General features: G+C 41.4%; 1 protein-coding gene across 1 annotated transcript in view, besides 1 other annotated feature; it reads right to left on the bottom strand.

Moving 5' to 3' along the window:
* Positions 1 to 20,936, bottom strand: part of CCR3 (C-C motif chemokine receptor 3) — a 56,011-nt gene that overhangs the window by 33,065 nt on the left and 2,010 nt on the right. The gene's annotated exons all lie outside the window — the stretch shown is intronic.
* Positions 11,805 to 11,974: an enhancer, noted in NCBI's record as "experimental_70326 CRE fragment used in MPRA reporter constructs". NCBI's record gives its function as "activates a minimal promoter by MPRAs in K562 erythroleukemia cells, with activity observed for the non-introgressed 3:46263244 variant allele {active_cell/tissue: K562}" and the evidence as "EXISTENCE:reporter gene assay evidence [ECO:0000049][PMID:34662402]".

Raw genomic sequence — 20,936 nt, 5'->3', positions numbered from 1 at the left:
CAGAGGTGTGTGGGAAAACCCAACCAAACACAAATGTCTTCCAATCTCCCAGATTCTCACTGCCACATTACACTGAAGCAGACACATTTCTGGGGGGCGGGAAAAAAGAGCCAAAACAACAACAACACACGCAGAAGATAGCTTAGGAGTATGGGAACATGGGAGGGGAAAAGCAAAGAACCTCAGAAATAGGAAAGGGTCAGCAATATTTTGCAGGAGAGCATAGGTCAAGCCACAACCTTGAGCATGTGAACGGAAACGATTGCCAGAGCAGCAGGGAGAAGTGCAAAGCTTCCTTTAATGCACCCACCTTCCTTCCCGGGCACCAGGGCCAGAAATGTGGGGCTCCAGCCAGACTTGTGTTTACTGTCACTTTTCTAGTGAAGTTAGTGGAAGGACTTTTGTAGCCAGCAGGGCCCCTCTCTAGCACGTTGGCAATCCTGTGTATTTCTGTGTTCCCTCCACTGACAGCACGTCACCCTCCTGTGAAAGCTTTACAAAAAGGACTATGGGCCGGGTGCAGTGGCTCACGCCAGTAATCCCAGCACTTTGGGAGGCTGAGACACGTGGATCACGAGGTCAGGAGTTCGAGACCAGCCTGGCCAACATGGTGAAACCCCGTCTCTACGAAAAATACAAAAATTAGCCAGGCGTGGTGGCGTGTGCCTATAATCCCAGCTACTCGGGAGACTGAGGCAGGAGAATTGCTTGAAATCAGGAAGTAGAGGTTGCAGTGAGCCGAGATTGTGCCACTGCACTCCAGCCTGGGCAACAGAGCAAGACTTCATCTAGAAAAACACAAAAAAGGATTATTCCCCTGATAGATAGCCTATTCTACAAAAGAGACAGGAGTGAGAACGTGGAAGCTGTGCTATTGGGGGAGGTGGTGGGCCACCTGTGATTTCAAGATAACAGGTGAACAAGAGTCTAGCATTGATCTGGGCCTTGATATTTACCATCAGTGCAACATCACATCCAGAATGGCACCAAGGATGGGGCAAACCACCGGTGCAGCCATGAACATGCCCCTCCCACTCCAGAAAGCCTAAGACCCCTCTGCAGGCTCTGAAATCAATGTTGTGCTTCCAATGACTGAGCACACAGGGATACTGAGGCAGGCCCAATCCCTAGAGATGCACTGACATTAGCTTAAGGACCCCCACGTGGCTATGCCAAACCTTCCTCAGGCTGCAGAACAGTCTAGGATGCGTCTACTACCGCTTGGTTCCCCTGCTACCTCACTGGGGTTCTGCCGGCTTTCCCAGCCCTTCCTGCTCCAGCCCACTTTCCCTCCCAGGTGCTTTTCCAACAAAATCTTTCCCTGTGTAAAACCTGCTTGGTGGCTGCTTTTAGAGATCTGGACAGACGTAACCTTCATGTTCAAATTAGCTTCAACATATTCCTTCAGGGCATTCCCGTGAGGGATTGTGTTGTTGCTTGTTCCTCTAACCATTCTGTGTGTTTCATTTTGCTCATTTTCATTTTTTTATAAGAACATCAAAAATCTAGTATCAAACTCAGTAAATAAATATGACGATGAAGAAAAAAATTGAACAATGATTTAGAAATTATGCAGAAAATACATTTTTCTCCCCAGGATATGGAAAATACTTCCTAATTAAATGCAAAAACAATGCACTTCCAATAAACAGGAACAAATTCATATAATGTTACCCAAGTAAAATATGTGAAGTTCTTATTTCCATGGTACCTCACACTGTCACATGGGCCCCTGGAAATGCAAGAGAGACATTGGGGCAGGGAAAGAGATGGGATAGATCAATAGATCTTGTTTCTCCTGAAACAAGATAAGAGGGGTGGATGAATAATGGATCTTTTTTAAAAACCACTTTATTGAAGTATAATATACAAAAAGCTGTGCATATTTAATCTATACAACTTGATGAGTTTGGAGAGAAATATACCCCTGTGAAACCCTCATCATAATCTATACCATAAACACAACTATCACTTCAAAAGTTTCCTCCTGTCCTATTTATCAAGATTATTACTTTAACGTAAGATCTACCCTCTTGGCACATTTTTAAGTATACGATGCAGTGTTGTTAGCTAGAGGCACCATGCTGTTCAGTACATCTCTAGGACTTATTCATCTTCTGTAACTGAAACTTTGTGCTCGTTGACTAATACAGATAGATAGATAATAGATATTGAAGCTAACCGCTCCTTTTCCTACAAGTAACAACCAGAAATATTTCTTATTGTGGGAAGATGTAATCTCTGCTTTGTTCACACCTGAGTAATAAAGTGTTTTGGAGCCTTCTATAAACTGCAGTGGCGATCAGGATTCTCAGAAAGTCATGTAGGGAGGGGTGCACAGCCCATTTCCATATGGAGTGCTGTTTTGCATCTCATCCACAAGATTAATCTGGGCACTTTTAAAACTTGTCAAAATCTGGGCCTGGCACAGTGGCTTATGCCTGTAATCCCAGCACTCTGGGAGGCCAAGGAGGGCAGATCATGAGGTTAAGAGATCGAGACTATCCTGGCCAACATGGTGAAACCCCTTCTCTACTAAAAATACAAAAATTAGCTGGGTGTGATGGTGTGTGCCTGTAATCCCAGCTACTCGGGAGGCTGAGGCAAGAGAATCGTTTGAACCCGGGAGGCAGAGGTTGCAGTGAGCCAAGATCGCGCCACTGCACTCCAGCCTGGACGACAGAGCGAGACACCTTCAAAAACACAAACAAAAAACAAAACAAACAAAAAACGGATCAAAATCTGTTTTGAGCAGCACAAATCCTGAATGAATAAAAACATGTGCCTAGGTCCCTGCCCTGGAAAAGATCAGAGGGCCAGTGTGGAGGGTGGAGGAAAAGTGCCTCGGTCCTTAACACCGATAAAGATGACTTTAATGCACCCAGGCTCATGAACTAGGACAGTGATCCGGAGGACGGGGCGAGGAGGTAGATGGAGGGGCTGCATTTACATCGTCAGAGGGGGCTGGGCCCTCTGCTAAGGGCTTTAGGTACCCTGTCTTGTTCAAACTCTTCAGTGACCCTGGGAGATGAGTGCATTTCTTTTTACCAGTTCACAGAGGAGGCACTGAGGTGAGTTTGTTAAGCAACGGGCCCAAGATCACACAAGCAAAAAATGGTGGGGCTTGTCCTGGAATCCAGCTCTATCAGATTAGTACCCAGCCCTAACCACTCTGCCTGCTGCCTTCCTGGAGGTCCGTTGATGTGGCATGAGGGGTTACATAGGACCAGGTGGCCTGAGGGGTGGGTGGTGGAGTATTTCTGTTCACTCCAGGCTTTCCATTCCACTCCAGAGGCCCATGTCCAAAATTCAGGAGTTGAATTTTATGTCAGGACACCTCTGCTTTAATTCTACACTTCTCTTTAATAAAGAAAATCTGAAGAAAACTTGCATATTGTGACTTCATTACAGAAAAGAATGAGTCCTCCTTATAGAAGGAGAGTGTCATGGATATTGGTGGGGCTCTGCTGGACCCTGTGGAGTCCTTCTTACCTTTCCTATGCACCCCTTTCTGTTTCCATGTTTTTTGCTTCCAGCTGCTTGCACCTATGATTCTATCAAGACCTGCCCTCTGACTACTGGAGTGGTTTTGCCCACAGAGCCAGAAGGAATCTCTCCAACTTCCTTGTCTTGTGTCAGAATAGACTCTGAGGCATAACCTAATGCTCCTGAGTCCAGCGTCCACTCATGGGATAAGGGCTACCCTAAGGGCTCTGCCTGGGACCACGCTCTTACTTGGCCTCCTCCCTCTCTGTCCTGCTTCTCTGACTCCTATGCTGTTTTTTTTTCTCAGCACATTTCCTTAATATATTCCTTGCACACGAATCTTCACCTCAGCATCCAGGATCATGATCTAAGATAAGGAGTTTACCATGTATGGGATCTGTTGTTGTTTTAAACAACTTATTGCAATATAATGTATGTATAATAAACTACATCAATTTAATGTCCGTGATTTGAGGAATCTTGACAGCTGTACACATCTGTTAAATAACTCCCATAATCAAGATTCAAAATATTTCTGTCACCTCCCCCAACCAGAGATTCTTTGTGTCCCTTTGCAGTCCTTCCTGCCCTCCACCCCCAACTCCAGACAACCATGGCTTTCCAGTCCTTAAGTTCAGTTTCTTTGCAACCCACAGCCTGAATATTTAAGGCAATTTATATCATCAATGCTATACATTTTAGGTTTTTGTATGTCAGCATCCCACTTCAAGGTACCAATTTCTATATTTGTTAAGAAAATGATATAAAAAACAAACTCTGAAATGTACAGTGGACTTAAACACTTAGGAGTGTATTCATTGATCATGTAAAGCTAATCAGGATTGATAAACATTAATACAGGCTCCTAGGCACCTTTCATATTGTGATTCTGATATCACAAGAGTTAGCATCTGAGATCACAACATATACAACTGCACCACCCAAAGGAAGGAGACAGTATGAAAGAATGTTCATGAAAGGGCTTTATGGGCTGGCCTGGAAATCGCTCATATCACTTCTATCTATATCCCATTGGCTGCAACTCAGTGATATGACCACACGCACATGCAAGAGAGACTGGAAATACAGTCTACCTATGTGCCCACAAGCTATCAAAGCTCTCACATATGCATATAGCTAGCTGAGCAGGAAAGGAAAAGCTAGAAAGAGGAAGAAGAAAGAGACATTGACACATAACATTATCATTTTTGATAATAGCAAGCACAACAACCAAATGACACACACATGGTAAGAATACACATAGCAGATGTAACATGAGAAAGAACAGATGAAAAGAATAACTATCATCTGATGAGCAGGCACATGCCAAGTGTTTTATCATGCATCATCACATGTATCCTCACAAGTCTGTAGATATCCAGTTTACAGATGAGGATTAAGGCAACGCAAGATTATATGACCCACCATGTTTGTACAGTTATCAAATGGCAGAGAATAGATTTGTACACAGGTATTTTTAATTCCTAAGCCTGTGCTGTTAACATTGGGCAGAACAAACCAATTGTAGTTTGTTTTATTTTTTCCTTCCATGAGAGCCTTGAATATCACCAGCAGATTTCAAAATAAGTCTGGGTACCAAGAACGTGAAGATTATGTCATATCATTAAAAGATCATAGAAGGATTAGAGGAGATGGATTTCACAACTTAGACCTCAGGGCAGATGGCCAGGAAGACATGTGCACCACAGATACAAGGGTGGGGTCAAATTCAGCACTAAGAGATAGGGAAAGTTACTCGCTATTTACTATAGCCTCTGCATTCACAGAAGGGTGACTCAGATAAAATTCTTATAAGATGATGGGTGAAGAGGCAAATTTTAAAATTAGAGAGAAAAAAATTTCTCTTTGTAACAACAGGGATAGAGAGAGTGGGAGGGGGTGTGCGTACAATGTAAGATCTAGGAAGAAAGACCAGGGTGTCCCCAGTGAGATTGGAAAGGCTGTGTGGGACTGTGAGGAAGAAAAAAAAAAAAGACCACAAACTGGGCAGTAGGTGGGAAAGAGTTTGGGAAGGAAAGACAGAAATGTTAAACAGGGATTTTCAGGAAGGCTTGCTGTATAGTGTGGGATGTTATCTTCCTATTGTCAAGGTTTGGTCATACAAATCTTCTCTAGGTATGTTGACTAGGAAGGGGCTTCATATAAAATGTAGATACCTTCACAACGAATACACTTTTTCAAGTACCTATGGAACATTCACCGAGATAAACCATATGCAGGGTTTTAGTTTTTTCATTAAAATTATGCCAAGTATGTTCTCAAGCCAAAGTGGAATCAACTAAAGTTTAATAACAGAAAGATAACAGGAAAATCTCTAAACACTTGAAAATGTAAAAACACTTCTAACTAATTTATGGGTCAAAGAGGAAGTCTCAAAGGAAATTTAAAAATATACAGAACTAAATGAAAACAAAATAATAATATATCAAGGTATGTGGGCTGTAGCTAAAGCAGTTCTGAGAGGAAAATATGCAGCGCTAAATTCTTCCATTAGAAAAGAACAGTCTCGCATCAATAATCCAAGTTCTTTCCTCAAGAAACCAGAAAATGCAGAGCAAAATTAACTCAAAACAAGTAGAAAGGAGACAAAAATAAAGAGAAAATATAAATAAAATTGAAAACAGAAAAACAGTAGATAAAAATCAAAGAAACTTCCATCACAAGGGATGCAAGAGAAAAAAAGGCAAGGAAACAAAAAGCCAGTTTTTCAAAAAAATCAAGAAAAGTGATAAACCTCTAGCAAGACATACAAGAGAAAAAGAGAAGACATAAATCACCAATATCAGAAATAAAACGGGATATTACTACAGCTTCTTCAGCCATTAAAAGGAATAATAATAGAATACTATGAACTACTTTATTATCATAAATTCAACAATTCAGAAAAACTAGTTTGTTGAATATTGACATAGATAAAATATCTATGACAGAGTGATTTAACAAAATGTTTCAGCTGGGCGTGGTGGCTCAGGTCTGTAATCCCAGCACTTTGAGAGGCTGAGGCAGGGGCTGGGATTACCTGAGGTCAGGAGTTTGAGAACAGCCTGGTCAACATGGCAAAACCCTGTCTCTACTAAAAATACGAAAAATAAAAAAATAGCCAGGCATGGTGGCATGCACCCATAGTCCCAGCTACTCAGGAGGCTGAGGCATGAGAATCGCTTGAACCTGGGCAGCAGAGGTTGCAGTGAGCCGAGATCATGCCACTGCACTCCAGCCTGGGCAAAAGAGCAAGACTCCATCTCAATTAAAAAAGAAAATATATATATATATATATTTCACCTATTCATGGTAAACACTCAGCAAACTAAAAATAGAAAGACACTTCCTCAACTTGATAAACAGCATTTACAAAGAGTCTAGAGAAAACATTATACTTGATGGAGAAAGAATGAATGTTTTCCTCTAAGATCAAGAACAAAGCAAGGACGTCTACTCTCACCACTCCTATTCAACTGGAAGTTTAAGCCAGTGCAGTAAGACAAGAAAAATAAATAAAAGGCATACAGATTGGAAAGGAGGAAATAAAACTGTCCCTATTATTTAGGAAAGACATAGCGGTCTACATAGAAAATCCCAAGGTCAGTAAGATTGCAGGAACAAAACCAGGAAACAAAAGTCAATCACATTTATATGTACTAAGGAACATGTGGAAGCCAAAATTAACAATTTTTGTGCCATTTTCAGTTGCTCCAAAAAGCTTTTAGATGATACTTAGGTATAACTCTAGCTAAGTATGTACATGACTTGCATGCTGAAAACTACAAAATGCTGATAAAATAAATCAAAGAAGACCTAAATAAATATAGAGAGATATACCATGTTCATAGATTAGAAGACTCAACAGTAAAGATGTCAATTTTCCCCAAATTAATCCAAGGTTTAGGGAAATTTATATTATAGAAATTCCAGTGAAATTTTTATAGCCATTTGTAAGCTTATTATTCTTAAGTTTATATGGAAAGTCACAGGACCTAGAATAGCTAAAATAATTTTGAAAAACAATAATAAAGTGAGAGGAATCACTTACCTGATTTCATGACGTATTATATAGCTACAGTAATCCAGATAGAGTGATATTGGCAGAGAGATAGACATACTGATCAAAGAACAAATAGAGAACTCAGAACTAGACTCACAAATATGCTTAACTGTTTTTTGACAAAGGTGTAAAGCCATTAAATGGAGGGATAGTCTTTTCAAAAAATGGTGCTTGAGGAATTGTACATTCGTAGATAAACCAAAAAACAAAATGACCCTCAGCCTAAACCTCACACCTTATACAAGAAGTAACTCAAAAATGCAAACAACATATCTAACAAAATATTTGTTTAGAATATAAAGCATTCTCAAAACTCAAAAGCAAAAAAGCAAAAATTCCAATTAGAAAATGGTCAAAGATATGCACAGACATATCACTGAAGAGGATATACAGATAACCACTAAGCACATACAGAGATGTTCAATATCATTAGTCTTTAGGGAAATGCAAATTAAAACTACCATGAGATGTTACTACATACCTATCAGAATGGCTGAAATAAAGAATAGTAAAACAAACACTGGCAAGGATGCAGAGAAAATGAATCACTCATACTTTGCAGCTGGGAACATAAAATAATACAGCCATTATGAAAAAGAGCATGGCACTTTCTTACAAAACTAAATTCGTGCTTACAATACAACCCAGCAATTGTAGCTGGGTAATCCCGAGTAGCTGGGATTACAGGCAGGTGCCACCATGCCATGGACAATTTACCTAAAAAATGTTCAAAGATTTAAAGATTGAGATGGTAAGATGCCTAATGAGTTAATGCCTAAATCTTAAGTTTTTGCATGTGCACATACCCATGTAACCACCAGTCAAGACATTACTAGAACCCCAGAATGTTCCCTAGCACTTCTTCCCAGTCAGTACCCACCTCCATAGAGGTCATGTCTATTTTATTTCTATCACTGCTGATCAGTTTTGACCATTATTGAATTCATTATAAATGAGGTTATGTAGCATGCAGTAGCAATAGTTTGGTCTTTTATATTACTATATATAGTATTCTCTCATATGACTAATTTATCTGTTTTACTACTGATAAGAATTTTGGACTATCAGTTTGAGACTATTATGAATAAAGTTACTAACAACATTCTTGAACACATCTTTTGGGTTTATGTGCACTTCTCTTGGGTATTTACCTGGAAGTAGAATTGCTGGGTCACAGGGAAAGCACATGTTTAGCTTTACATACTGCTAAACAATTTTTCAAGTGGTTGTACCAATTTATACTTGCACCAGCATGGTGTGAGAGTTCTCATTGCCTCATAACCTTTTTAATACTTGGTATTGTCTATTGTCAGGGTTTGTTTTTTGTTGTTGATGGCTTTTTTTTTTTTTTTTTTTTTGACAGAGTCTTGCTCTGTTGCCCAGGCTGGAGTGCAGTGGCATGATCTCGGCTCACTGCAACCTCCGTCTCCCAGGCTCAAGCAATTCTGCTGCCTCAGTCTCCCAAGTAGCTGGGATTACAGGTGTGTGCCACGATGCCTGGCTAATTTTTGTATTTTTAGTAGAGACAGGGTTTCACCATGTTGGCCAGGATATCTCAAACTCCTCACCTCAGGTAATCTGCCCGCCTCAGCCTCCCAAAGTGCTGGGATTACAGGTGTGAGCCACCGTGCCCAGCTAATTTTTGTATTTTTATTAGAGATGGGGTTTCACCATGTTGGTGTTAGCCAGGCTGGTCCTGAACTCCTGGCCTCAGGTAATCTGCCTGCCTCAGCCTCCCAAAGTGCTGGGATTACAGGTGTGAGCCACCGTGCCTGGCCCAGGGTTTGGTTTTTTGTTGATGTTGTTTTGCGTTTTTTTCATTTTAGCCATTCTGGTGGTTATGTGCTGCTGTCTCATTGGTTCGTCTCATTAAAACCAGTGGTTTTAATTTGCATTTCTCAAATGATTAGTGATGCAGAGCACATTTTCACATACATGTTAGTTATTTGGATATCCTCATCTATGAAGTTTCTAATCAAGTCTTTTGCCTATTTAAAAAACAAGAGGCCATTGGTCCTTTTCTTATTAACTGGCAGGAGTATTTAATCGATTTTGTATATGCATCCCTTTATTTGAAAGAGCTCTCCCTGAGCTGTTTCTGGCTGTGGGCACTCATGCTGCTTTCTACCCAGCTCCTGGCACACCCTGATCACACCCGATGGAGACTCTATTTACCGACACCTCTGGGCTTATGTTTCTGAACCTGCTCAAGTCATCCACTGTCCTCTAGTACCTCTATCCATGTCCCATACCTGCACCAGCACCCTGTCCGTGGCCAAGTTTCAGGCAAGCCATGGGATCTAAAATGTCTCTCTCCCTTCTTTGTCAGGAGCCAAAAGAATTCTTGCTTCCTGAAACTGAGGCAGGCTGAAAGGGAAAACAGATTGATACAAGTGACACGTGATAATGTCACTCTGAATAAAAGAGGTCAAACTGTACTTATCAATAGTCACACATACATACATGCACACACACACCTGCATGCATGTACACAACATGCATGCACACACACAAGCATCAACTTTAATCAGCAAGTCCTTACACTGACCACCTCTTATATATATGCATCTCAGTGCTGGGTACTGTGGAAAACATATGAAAAAGGATTGGGCATGGGCCCAGCAGCTGAGAAGCTTACAATTTAGCTGGAGAGAAAAGATGTAATACAGATAACATGATATAAAATGCTGTGTATTAGACTGTATGTAAGCCCAGACTCAAAAGAGATTTTATTTGTTTGTTTGTTTGTTTTCAAGACAGAGTCTTGCTCTGTCACCCAGGCTGGAGTGCAGTGGCACGATCTCGGCTCACTGCAACCTCCACATCCTGGGCTCAAGCAGTTCTCCTCCCTCTGCTGGGATTACAGATGTCCACCACCACACCCAGCTAATTTTTGTATTTTTAGTAGAGACAGGGTTTCACCACATTGGCCAGGCTGGTCTCGAACTCCTGACCTCATGATCCACCCACCTCAGCCTCCCAAAGTGTTAGGATTACAGGCGTGAGCCAACACACCTGGCCTCAAAAGAGTTTTAAAACTTGGCATGCAAGACTGTAAGTGTTAACTTGGGCTGGACCTGGACAGGGAGTTTTTAGAGCACTTCCTTAATATACTTTCTCCTTCCCCTTTTTAGCATGAAGGGTTTCTTGACAATTTTCTTGCACATAGGAGACATTCAACAGATGTTTACCAGTTTGACTGAGGCATAGGATGAGGAAATAAATAGCCACGTAGCTCCCATCGGCTGAACATTTACCAAGTGCCAGACACATATTGAATCATATTTAATTATTGCAACAATCCTGAGAAAGAAATATTACTCTCACTATTTTAAACGTGGGGAAGCTGAGGTTCTGACAAGCGGTAAATAAAAATGCCCAAGGTGGCATGGCTGGCATCTGAGGGCTGTGCCAGGTCTGGTGTGCTGGAGGACTTGCTGCCTGTGGCAAGGTGCTGCCATTGTCTGTTGCTTGAACAAGGTGAGGAGCGCAGCATGCCTGGCCATGCATGATGTCTGAAGTTAGAGCCCAGGACCTAGGGCACTAGATCTGTGGGGTGGGGCCCTGAAAGATTAAGGGACTCTGGAGGTTTTTCTCCTGAGTTCTCTACTAGCCTGGCAGTACCCTTCAAGAAGAATCCTAGGGCTTCCTGATAGGTAGCTTCAGAGGCAAGGCAGCAGCAAGAGGGCGACAAATTAAATAAGAGAAAGTAACGCAACCAGGCTGCCTGTCAGCCCCTGTAACTTCTCCAGATTATCATACTGGACCCATCACTTGCCCAGTCTAGCTAGAAGTTCATCTATCCCCATGAAACCCCCATCTCCCCACCTCCACCATGGCCATCCAGGAATGCCCTAGGTGTGCCATACTCTGTGGCTGCTGTGTTGATATGGATTGGTGGTGTGGCATGATACATGGTCCTGCTTCCTCTGTCTCACTGCTCTGAAACAGGAATTCAGACATGGGTCCTTTGATGTGGAGAGTGTCACGCCTTATTGTCCTAGAGAGTGGGACAGCCTGGGAGGCCTGCCTATCTGACCTTCAGGGCTCCTGCCCAGTCCTCAGGGGGAATCTTCAGTGCCAGTTTGTGTGGAGGAAGCCTGTGGGAAATTGTGTGGACAGCAGTGGCAAGAGAGGGGCTGGGGAGGGACTAGGGGGCACACGGGAAGAGGAAAGGCAGGCAGAGCTAAGTGAGGGGTGGCGGCCAGTCAGGGGCCCAGACACACTCCTTCATGGACCCCCTTCTTTGTCTTCAGTGGTCTTGGGTAGGTCTGCTTTGCAAGGGGCAAAAGAACACAGGATGATCCTTTGGAAGAAGTGAATGTGCATTTCAACAACCGGAAACCTGCCAGGGGTTCTTGGAGGAAAGCAAGCTCAAAAATGAAGGCTTAAGCAAAACAAAATAGCCCACCCCGCAGAATAACCCACAGAGGGAAAAGGAAGACAGGAATAAGACTAAAAGTCTAGAAAAGGGAAGTGCAAATTGGGTTCAAGATGCCTCAACTGCAGGCAGAGCCGTGTGGTTTGAACTGTTTGTGTGACTTGAAACATAGCCCAGCCAAGGTCAGGACCTCTCTTTGTGAAGGATTGGGCTGCGGGGGGCATGTGAGGGGTGCATCTTGCATGTGCAGGAATACCCCTACAACTAGGGAATCAGGCCCCAGCTGCTAGTGGGAAGAGCAGATATTCAAGTAAAAGCTATTTCTGCTGAAACCAAAGATTTATATAAACTCAGATACAGTATTTGTTGCTGTTGTCAGATCCATTTGTCCTTGAAGACTTAAGATGAAAGAAATGCAAACATCTTCCCTGTACATTCATGGCCTATAGGTACTCTGCAATGGTGTGCTGGTAAATGTTAACAACCAGCTTTCTGGAGGAAGAATCAAAACAGGCACAACATGCCTGATATAATAGCATCAATTTCCAGTTTCCTTGGTGTAAATACTCTCCGTGGCCAAGTTCAAGTTGTGAACTTAATATCACTAAGGCGAAGGTGGGTCTAACAGAGTTTAGGTAACCATAATAACAGAGTTTGTTGAGTTTACATTATTTGCTAAATTCTTCATGTGCATCATTTTATTTTATTATTTCAATAGTTTTTGGGGAACACGTGGTGTTTGGTTACATGGATAAGTTCCTTAGGTGTGATTTCTGAGATTTTGGTACCCCCATCACCTAAGCAGTGTACACTGCACCCAGCGTGTAGTCTTTAATCCCTTGTCTCTTTCCCACCCTTCCGTCTAAGTCTCCAGAGTCCATTATGTCATTCTGATGCCTTTATATCCTCACAGCATAGCTTCCACTTATAGGTGAGACCATAGGATGTTTGGTTTTCCACTCCTGAGTTACTTCACTTGGAATAATGGTCTCCAACTCCATCCAGGTTGCTGGGAATGACATTATTTTGTTCCTTTTTGTGGCTGAGTAGAATTCCATGGTATATGTATATCACATTTTCTTTATCCACTCGTTAGTTGACGGACATTTACTTTGGTTCCATATTTTTGCAATTGTGAATTGCGCTGCTGTAAAGATGCATGTGCAGGTGCCTTTTTCATTGTAACGACTTCTTTTCCTCTGGGTAGATACCCAGTAGTGGGATTGCTGAATCAAATGGTAGTTCTACTTTTGGTTCTTTAAGGAATCTCCATACTGTTTTCTATAGTGGTTGTACTAGTTTACATGCCCAGCAGCAGTGTAAAAATATTCTCTTTTCACCACATCCCTGCCAACATCTATTATTATTATCTATTATTTTTTGATTTTTTAATTATGGCCATTCTTGCAGGAGTAAGATGATATTGCATTGTGGTTTTGATTTGCATTTCCCTGATAATTAGTGATGTTGGGCATTTTTTCATATGTTTGTTGTCCACTTGTGTATCTTCTTTTCAGAATTGTCTACTCATGTCCTTAGCCCGCTTTTTGATGGGATTATTTGTTCTTTTCTTGCTGATTTAAGTTCCTTGTAAATTCTGGATATTCACCATTTTGTCAGATGCACAGTTTGCAAAGATTTTCTCCCACTCTGTGGGTTGTCTGTTTACTCTGCTGATTATTACTTTTGCTATGCAGAAGCTTTTTAGTTTAATTCAGTCCCATCTATTTATCTTTGTTTTTGTTGCATTTGCTTTTGGGTTCTTGGACATGAACTCTTTGCTTAGGCCAATGTCTAGGAGAGTTCTTCTGATGTTATCTTCTAGACTTTTCATGGTTTCAGGTCTTAGATTTAAGTCTTTTATCCATCTTGAGATGATTTTTGTCTAAGGTGAGAGATGAGGATTCAGTTTCATTCTTCTACATGTGGTTTGACAATTATCCCAGTACCATTCGTTGGAAAGGGTGTCCTTTCCCCACTTTATGTTTTTGTTTGCTTTGTCAAAGATCAGTTGGTTGTAAGTATTTGGCTTTATTTCTGGGTTCTCTATTCTGTTCCATTGGTCTATCTGCCTGTGCCTATTTTTATACCAGTACCACGCTGTTTTGGTAACTATAGCCTTGTAGTATAGTTTGAAGTTGGGTAATATGAGGCCTCCAGATTTGTTCTTTTTGTTTAGTCTTGCTTTGGCTTTGTGGGCTCTTTTTTGGTTCCATATGAATTATAGGATTTTTTTTCTAGTTCTGTGAAGAATGATGATGACATTTTGATGAGAATTGCATTGAATTTATAGATTGCTTTAGGCAGTATGGTCATTTTCATAACATTGATTCTACCTGTCCGTGAGCATGGGATGTGTTTCTATTTGTTTGTGTCATCTATGATTTCGTTCAGCAGTGTTTGGTAGTTTTCCCTGTAGAGATCTTTCACCTCTTTGATTAGGTATATTCCTAAGTATTTTATAATATTATTTTTTGCAGCTGTTATAAAAGGGGTTGAGGTTTTGATTTGATTCTCAGCTTGGTTGCTGTTGGTGTATAGCAGTGCTACTGATTTTTGTACATTGATTTTGTATCCTGAAACTTTACTGAATTCCTTTATCAGATCTAGGAGCTTTTTGGATGAGTCTTTAGAGTTTTCTAGGTATGTGATCATATCATGGGCAAACAGCGACAGTTTGACTTCTTCATTACTAATTTGGATGGCCTTTGTTTCTTTCTCTTGTCTGACTGCTCTGGCTAGAACTTCCAGTAATATGCTGAATAGAAGTGTGAAAGTGGGCATCCTTGTCTTGTTCCAGTTCTCAGAGAAAATGCTTTCAACTTTCCCCTTTTCAGTATAATGTTAGCTGTGGGGTTGTCATAGACGGCTTTGATTACCTTATGGTATGTCCCTTCTATGCTGATTTTGCTAAGGGTTTTAATCATAAATGGAAACTGGATTTTGTCAAATACTTTTTCTGAATCTATTGAGATGATTATATGATTTTTGTTTTTACTTCTGTTTATGTGGTATATCACATTTATTGACTTACATATGTTAAATCAGCCCTGCCTCCCTGGTATGAAATCCACTTGATTATGGTGCATTACCTTTTTGATATCCTGTTGAATTCGGTTACCTAGTGTTTTGTTGAGGATTTTTGCATCCACATTCATGAGGGATATTGATCAGTAGTTTTCTTTTTTCATTACGTCATTTCCTGGTTTTGGTATGAAGCTAGGGTAATACTAGCTTCATAGAATGATTTAGGGAGGATTCCTTCTTTCTCTATCTTTTGGAATAGTGTCAGTAGGATTGGTGCCAATTCTTCTTTGAATGCCTGATAGAATTCAAGCTGTCAATCCATCTGGTCCTAGACTTTTTTTTTTTGTTGGCAATTTTTAAAATTACCATTTTAATCTTGCTGCTTGTTATTGGTCTGTTCAGAGTTTCTATTTCTTCCTGGTTTAATCTAGGAGGGTGGTACATTTCTAGGAATTTATCCATCTCCTCTAGGTTTTCTAGTTTGTGCACATAAGTTTGCTTATAGTAGCCTTGAATAATCTTTTGCATTTCTGTGGCATCATTTATAGTATCTCCCATTTCATTTCTAATTGAGCTTACTTGGAACTTCTCTCTTCTTTTCTTGGTTAATCTTGCTAATGGTCTATCGATTTTGCTTATCTTTTCAAAGAACCAACTTTTTGTTTCATTTAGCTTTTGTATTTTTTTTTTGTTTGTTTCAGTTTTATTTAGTTCTGCTCTGATCTTTGTATTTCTTTCCTTCTGCTTGGTTCAGGTTTGATTTGTTCTTGTTTCTCTGGTTCCTTGAGGTGTGGCCTTAGGTGTCTATTTGTGCTGTTTCAGACTTTTTGATGTAGGGGTTTAATGCTATGAACTTTCCTCTTAGCACCGCTTTTGCTGTATCCCAGAGGTTTTGATCAGTTGTGTTACTATTGTCATTCAGTTCAAAGAATTGCTAAATTTCCCTCTTGATTTTATAGTTAACCCAAGGATCATTTGGGAGCAGATTATTTAATTTCCATGTATTTGTGTAGTTTTGGCAGTTCCTTTTAACTTTTAATTTCCAATTTTATTCCACTGTGGTCTGACGGAGTACTTGATACAATTTTGATTTTCTTAAATTTATTGAAACTTATTTTGTGGCCTATCATATAGTCTATCTTGGAGAATGTTCCATGAGCTGATGAAAAGAATGTATATTCTGCAGTTTTTGGGTAGAATGTTCTGTAAATATCTGTAAGGTCCATTTGTTCTAGGGTACAGTTTAAGTCTAATGTTTCTTTGTTGACTTTCTATCTTGATGACCTGTTTAGTACTGTCAGAAGAGTACTGACTTCCCCTACGACTATTGTGTTGCCATCAATCTCATTTCTCAGGTCTAGTAGTAATTGTCTTATAAATTTGGGAGCTCCAGTGTTAGGTGCATATATATCTAGGATTGTGATATTTTCCTGTTGGACTAATACTTTTATCATTACATAATGTTTCTCTTTGTCTTTTTTAACTGTTGTTGGTTTTAAGTCTGTTTTGACTGATATAAGAATAGCTACTATTGCTTGCTTTTGGTTTCCATTTGCATGGAATGTCTTCCCTCCCCCTCACTTTACCTTAAGTTTATGTGAGTTTGGTGGATTTTTATCTATCTGTCATTCTATTTCTTTTAAGTGAAGCATTTAGGCCATTTACATTCAATGTTAGTATTGAGATGTGAGGTACTGTTCTATTCATCATGCTAGTTGTTGCCTGAATACCTTTTTTTTCATTGTGTTATTGTTTTATAGGTCCTGTGAGATTTTCACTTTAAGTAGGTTCTATTTTGGTATATTTTGAGGTTTTATTTCACAATTTAGGACTTCTTTTTAGCAGTTCTTGTAGTGCTGGCTTGGTAGTGGTGAATTCTCTCAGCATTTGTTTACCTGAAAAATACTTTATCTTCCTTTATTAATGAAGCTTAGTTGGATTGGATCCAACGCTCTAGGGTGATAATTATTTTAAGGAGGCAAAAGATAGGACCCCAACATCTTCTGACTTGCAGGGTTTCTGCTGAGAATTCTGCTGTTAATCTGATAGGTTTTCATTATAGATTACCTATAAAGGAGAAGCTGAGGTTTTCGCCTCACAGCTCTTAAGAGTCTTTCCTTCATCTTGACTTTAGGTAACTTGATGACTAGGTGCCTAGATGATGATCTTTTTGTGATGAATTTTCCAGGTGTTCTTTGAGCTTCTTGTATTTGGATTTCTAGATCACTAGCAAGACTGGAGAAATTTTCCTCAATTATTCCCTCAGATACGTTTTCAGATAAGTTTTAGATTCCCTTTCTTCCTCAGGCACACCAATTATTCTTCCAGAGACACAGGTGCCTTCAAGCTCACCCAATGTGTGCAGTGTGTACATAGTACAAGGTCCTTGCTCATTCACTTGGCACTCCAACCTGGGGGGCGTTTCGTGTCAACACATAAAGTTGCATAGCATTCCAGCGGGACTTAATCAGTCCCTTACATTGCAGTGAATGTGCCTGTAATCTGTATCTTCTGCCACATGTGTAAATATTTGTAAGATAAATTCATAAAAGTGGAATTGCTGGAATAAAAAATGCATACACTTCAAATTCCGATAGCTATTGCCAAACAGTCCTCCATGGAGTGGGACCCAATTTCCCCTCCCATCAGCAATAGGCAGGCATGACTTTTCCTCCACAGCTTCACCAACTCAGTGCTGGAACCAGATCTGAAGTCAGGTGTCTGACTCCCAGATTCTGGCTATTCCCATGAAGTGAAGCTGCAGGTTGGGTCTCAGAAGTAGCCATCTATAGGGGCAGCCTAGTGAGCCTGCTCCCTACAACCCATGACCAACCAAAAAATGTTTACTGAACATCTACAAGCTGAAATGTGCTGGGGTGTGCTGGGTTGCTCTGTGGCACCATTCATTCATCTCCAGCCCTCTTGGTCCTCTGGCAGACTCCAACTCATTTCTCTAGCCCCAGGGTAAACATCGATGCAAAGTGTTTCTGACTCCAGCTAACTTCCATTGTGTATCTCTTGAACCCTATACAGACTTCTATCCCACTAGAACGTGATCCTCTAGACCAGGGTGTCTCACACTGTCGTGTGCAAACAAATCCCTTGGGGATCTGATAAAAATGCAGACTCCCACCCAGTAAACCTGTGGTGGGGCCTGAGAGTCTGCATTTCTGGTAAGCTCTCAGGTTTTGCCATCACTTTGAACAGCAGGGTCCAGCACTGATTCTCAAACTCTAGCATAAATAAGAAGCACCTGGAGGACTTGTTAAAACACAGATTCCTGGGTCTAACCTTCAATGGGGCCTGAGAACCTTCATTTCCACCAAGCTCCCAGGTGACACAGATGCTGCTGGTTCACATACCTCACCTTGCATAACACTACTTCCAGGCCCTACCTAACTCAACTTTTAGGACTCTTAACTACTCCATGCTTGACAGAGAGAACACATGCTTAATAGCTGTGTGATGGATGAGGTGTAAGGGAACAAATACCAGCATGAGCACTCAGACTGGATGTAATAAGTGACAGGAACACACATGTGACTGTCTGGAGCTTAGGTTTGGAGTACAAGGATCATTATCAGCTCTTCATTCCTGCCTGACCCCCTGCCAGCCTCAAACCACAATGAGCCACTGCCCCATTCTTGCGAGCACTTAGATTACAGACCTACCAGGTTCTAGTTGGCAGCTCTTGGCACCAGCCTCTTCAGGTACAATGGCCATGCTCTCAGGCTCTCTGCCAGCAGGAACCACCCCAGAAACTTGTGTGTTTGGGGACAGGAAGGGACATTGGGAGGGGATAATGTGCTCTTGGTTCATTCACAGGCTCTCAAATCCTGCCCCCCAGTGTCTGCTTTCTGCTAAGCACTTCACTGTGCCAGAAGACCTGAGGGAAGGGGCTTCCCTACATCATCCACACTGCCCTGCAGCATCCATTACCCTCTGCTTGCCCAGGGAGGAAAGGTGGAGGCACTATCTACTGGTCTCCCCAGAGGATCTGGCTCACAAGTGGCTGTTTTATCACAGAACATCAGGGCTCCTTATTTCTATAAATTGGCAAAAAGAAAAGGCAGCCCTTTTCTCTGTTAGATGTCCTCATACCTCAGTGTGACCCCAGCAGCCACATCCCTGAGCAGAGGTGGTCTGAACATGTCAGAGCAGAAAGATGGGAGGAACCTGAGTCCCAGATGAAGCTGCTAAATTAAATAACTCGGATAGGAATAATGCAATAGAGCAGGAAAAACTGACAAGATGAGAGAAAATCAATAGAGCAATGTCCTTGAGTGAGTGAGAGAGGTTGGGATCCTGCACAAGCGGAAGGGATGGGTTTAGACAGGAACATGGAGAATCCAGCCATGTAACAGGTGGGAGGCAGAGAACTGTCCAGGAAAAAAGTGACCGGTAGCAGGGGAGGTGAGAGGTGGGGGCTTGTAGAAAGTTTCTTCTGATGGCTTTCATTTTCTCAGCGAAATAGGAAACAAGATCATCAGCTAAGAATGAGGATAACAGGTGGTGTTGGAGGTTTAAGGAAAAGGCAAAAGGTGTGAAATAATGTCTAAAAGAGGGGAATGCAGTTGATGGGCATTAAGGATGCTTTGGATACAGCTATCATCATTTAGAGCCACCCTAGTCACTGTGGTTGTGTGATTTTCTCTGGCCATATTTAACTTCACAGATGCAAGTGGGGGAGCTGGATCTAACTAGGACCAAAATTTTGCCAAGTGGGCATGACAGGATCAGAAAAGAGCAAAGGAATTGAGGGTGTGTTTAAGGGAGAGACTGTAATGATGGCTCATGGATTTTTAAGATGATGGGAAGTGAGGGCATGAGGAGGCTGAAGGTCAGTGGAAAATTAAAATATCAGTGGACTGGAGGTCCCACTGGGGTTAAAGAACTGTTGGAGTTGAGGTGCTAGAGGCAGTGAGTAGTAAATGTAGGAGGTGGTGGTCAGAGGCTGGATGCTGGCAGCAGGAAGTATGAAGAGCTACAGATATTAGTGATAGTAAGATTCAGGAGCTATGATCATGGGCATATGTGACCAAGGTATGGGGAAGACAAGACCATTAGAGGGATGAAGTTCAAGAAACTACTTGGCTATGGAACTAGAGGAAATTTGTGCATTGTGGTAGAAGATAATTTACGGACTCAAACTCCTCCAAGCCGAGTACACACAGCCTTTTACAATGTGACTTTGTAGCTCTTCCAAAAAAGGTAGTTTCTATTTCCTGACTCCTTGAATGTGGCTTGGCTTTGTGACTTACTTGCAAAAGCAGCATCATGTGACTTCTGAGGTTATGCCTTAAAATGCTTTACAGCTTCTATTTTGTACTCTCGTAACTGGCCTGAGACAGAGATGAGATGTCATGTCTATCTAGCTGATTGGAAGATGAGCAGCCACATAAAGGTGAATTGACAGTTGACAGCTGGCCCCAACCCTAGATGTGGGAGTGAGAGCACCTTGGACGATTCATCTAACTCACAGAATCACGAGAAAAAATGTCACTGTGATTTCAAGCCCCTGAGTTCTGAGGTTGTATTTTAGGCTGTAAAGACGAATAGAAACATGTGAATAGTGAAATCATTAAGAATTATTACAAGAGACTGTTAAAGAGTAATTTCAAACCAGAGCTAATATCTAGATTTGTGAGAAAACAATGATTTCTTTTCTTTTTCTTTTTTGAGCTATTTTGAGTCCATTGCTTTGTTATTTGCTGTCAAAAGTACCCAATGTATACAATGAGGTTTCAACACAGGTCTCCCCCTACCCCCCTAAGAAGTTTAAAAACCTCAGAGGTGCTACGTCAGTCTTTCATTGATGACTTCCTGTCATGGAGGATGGGAAGGCTTCAGGGAGGAGGCAGCCTCTTGGATGATCCATGGTGAGGGATCTCACACTGATGTGCCCAATGCCCTCTTTCACTTTGGGACACGATGAAGCACAGTGGGATAGATGAGCAGGACAGAGAGTAGGGAGAGAGG

The sequence above is a fragment of the Homo sapiens genome, chromosome 3 (assembly GCF_000001405.40).
Source record: "Homo sapiens chromosome 3, GRCh38.p14 Primary Assembly".
Taxonomy (NCBI): Eukaryota; Metazoa; Chordata; class Mammalia; order Primates; family Hominidae; genus Homo; species Homo sapiens.
The sequence above is the reverse complement of the archived record's forward strand: the minus strand, read 5'-3'. Positions and strand labels throughout refer to the sequence as shown.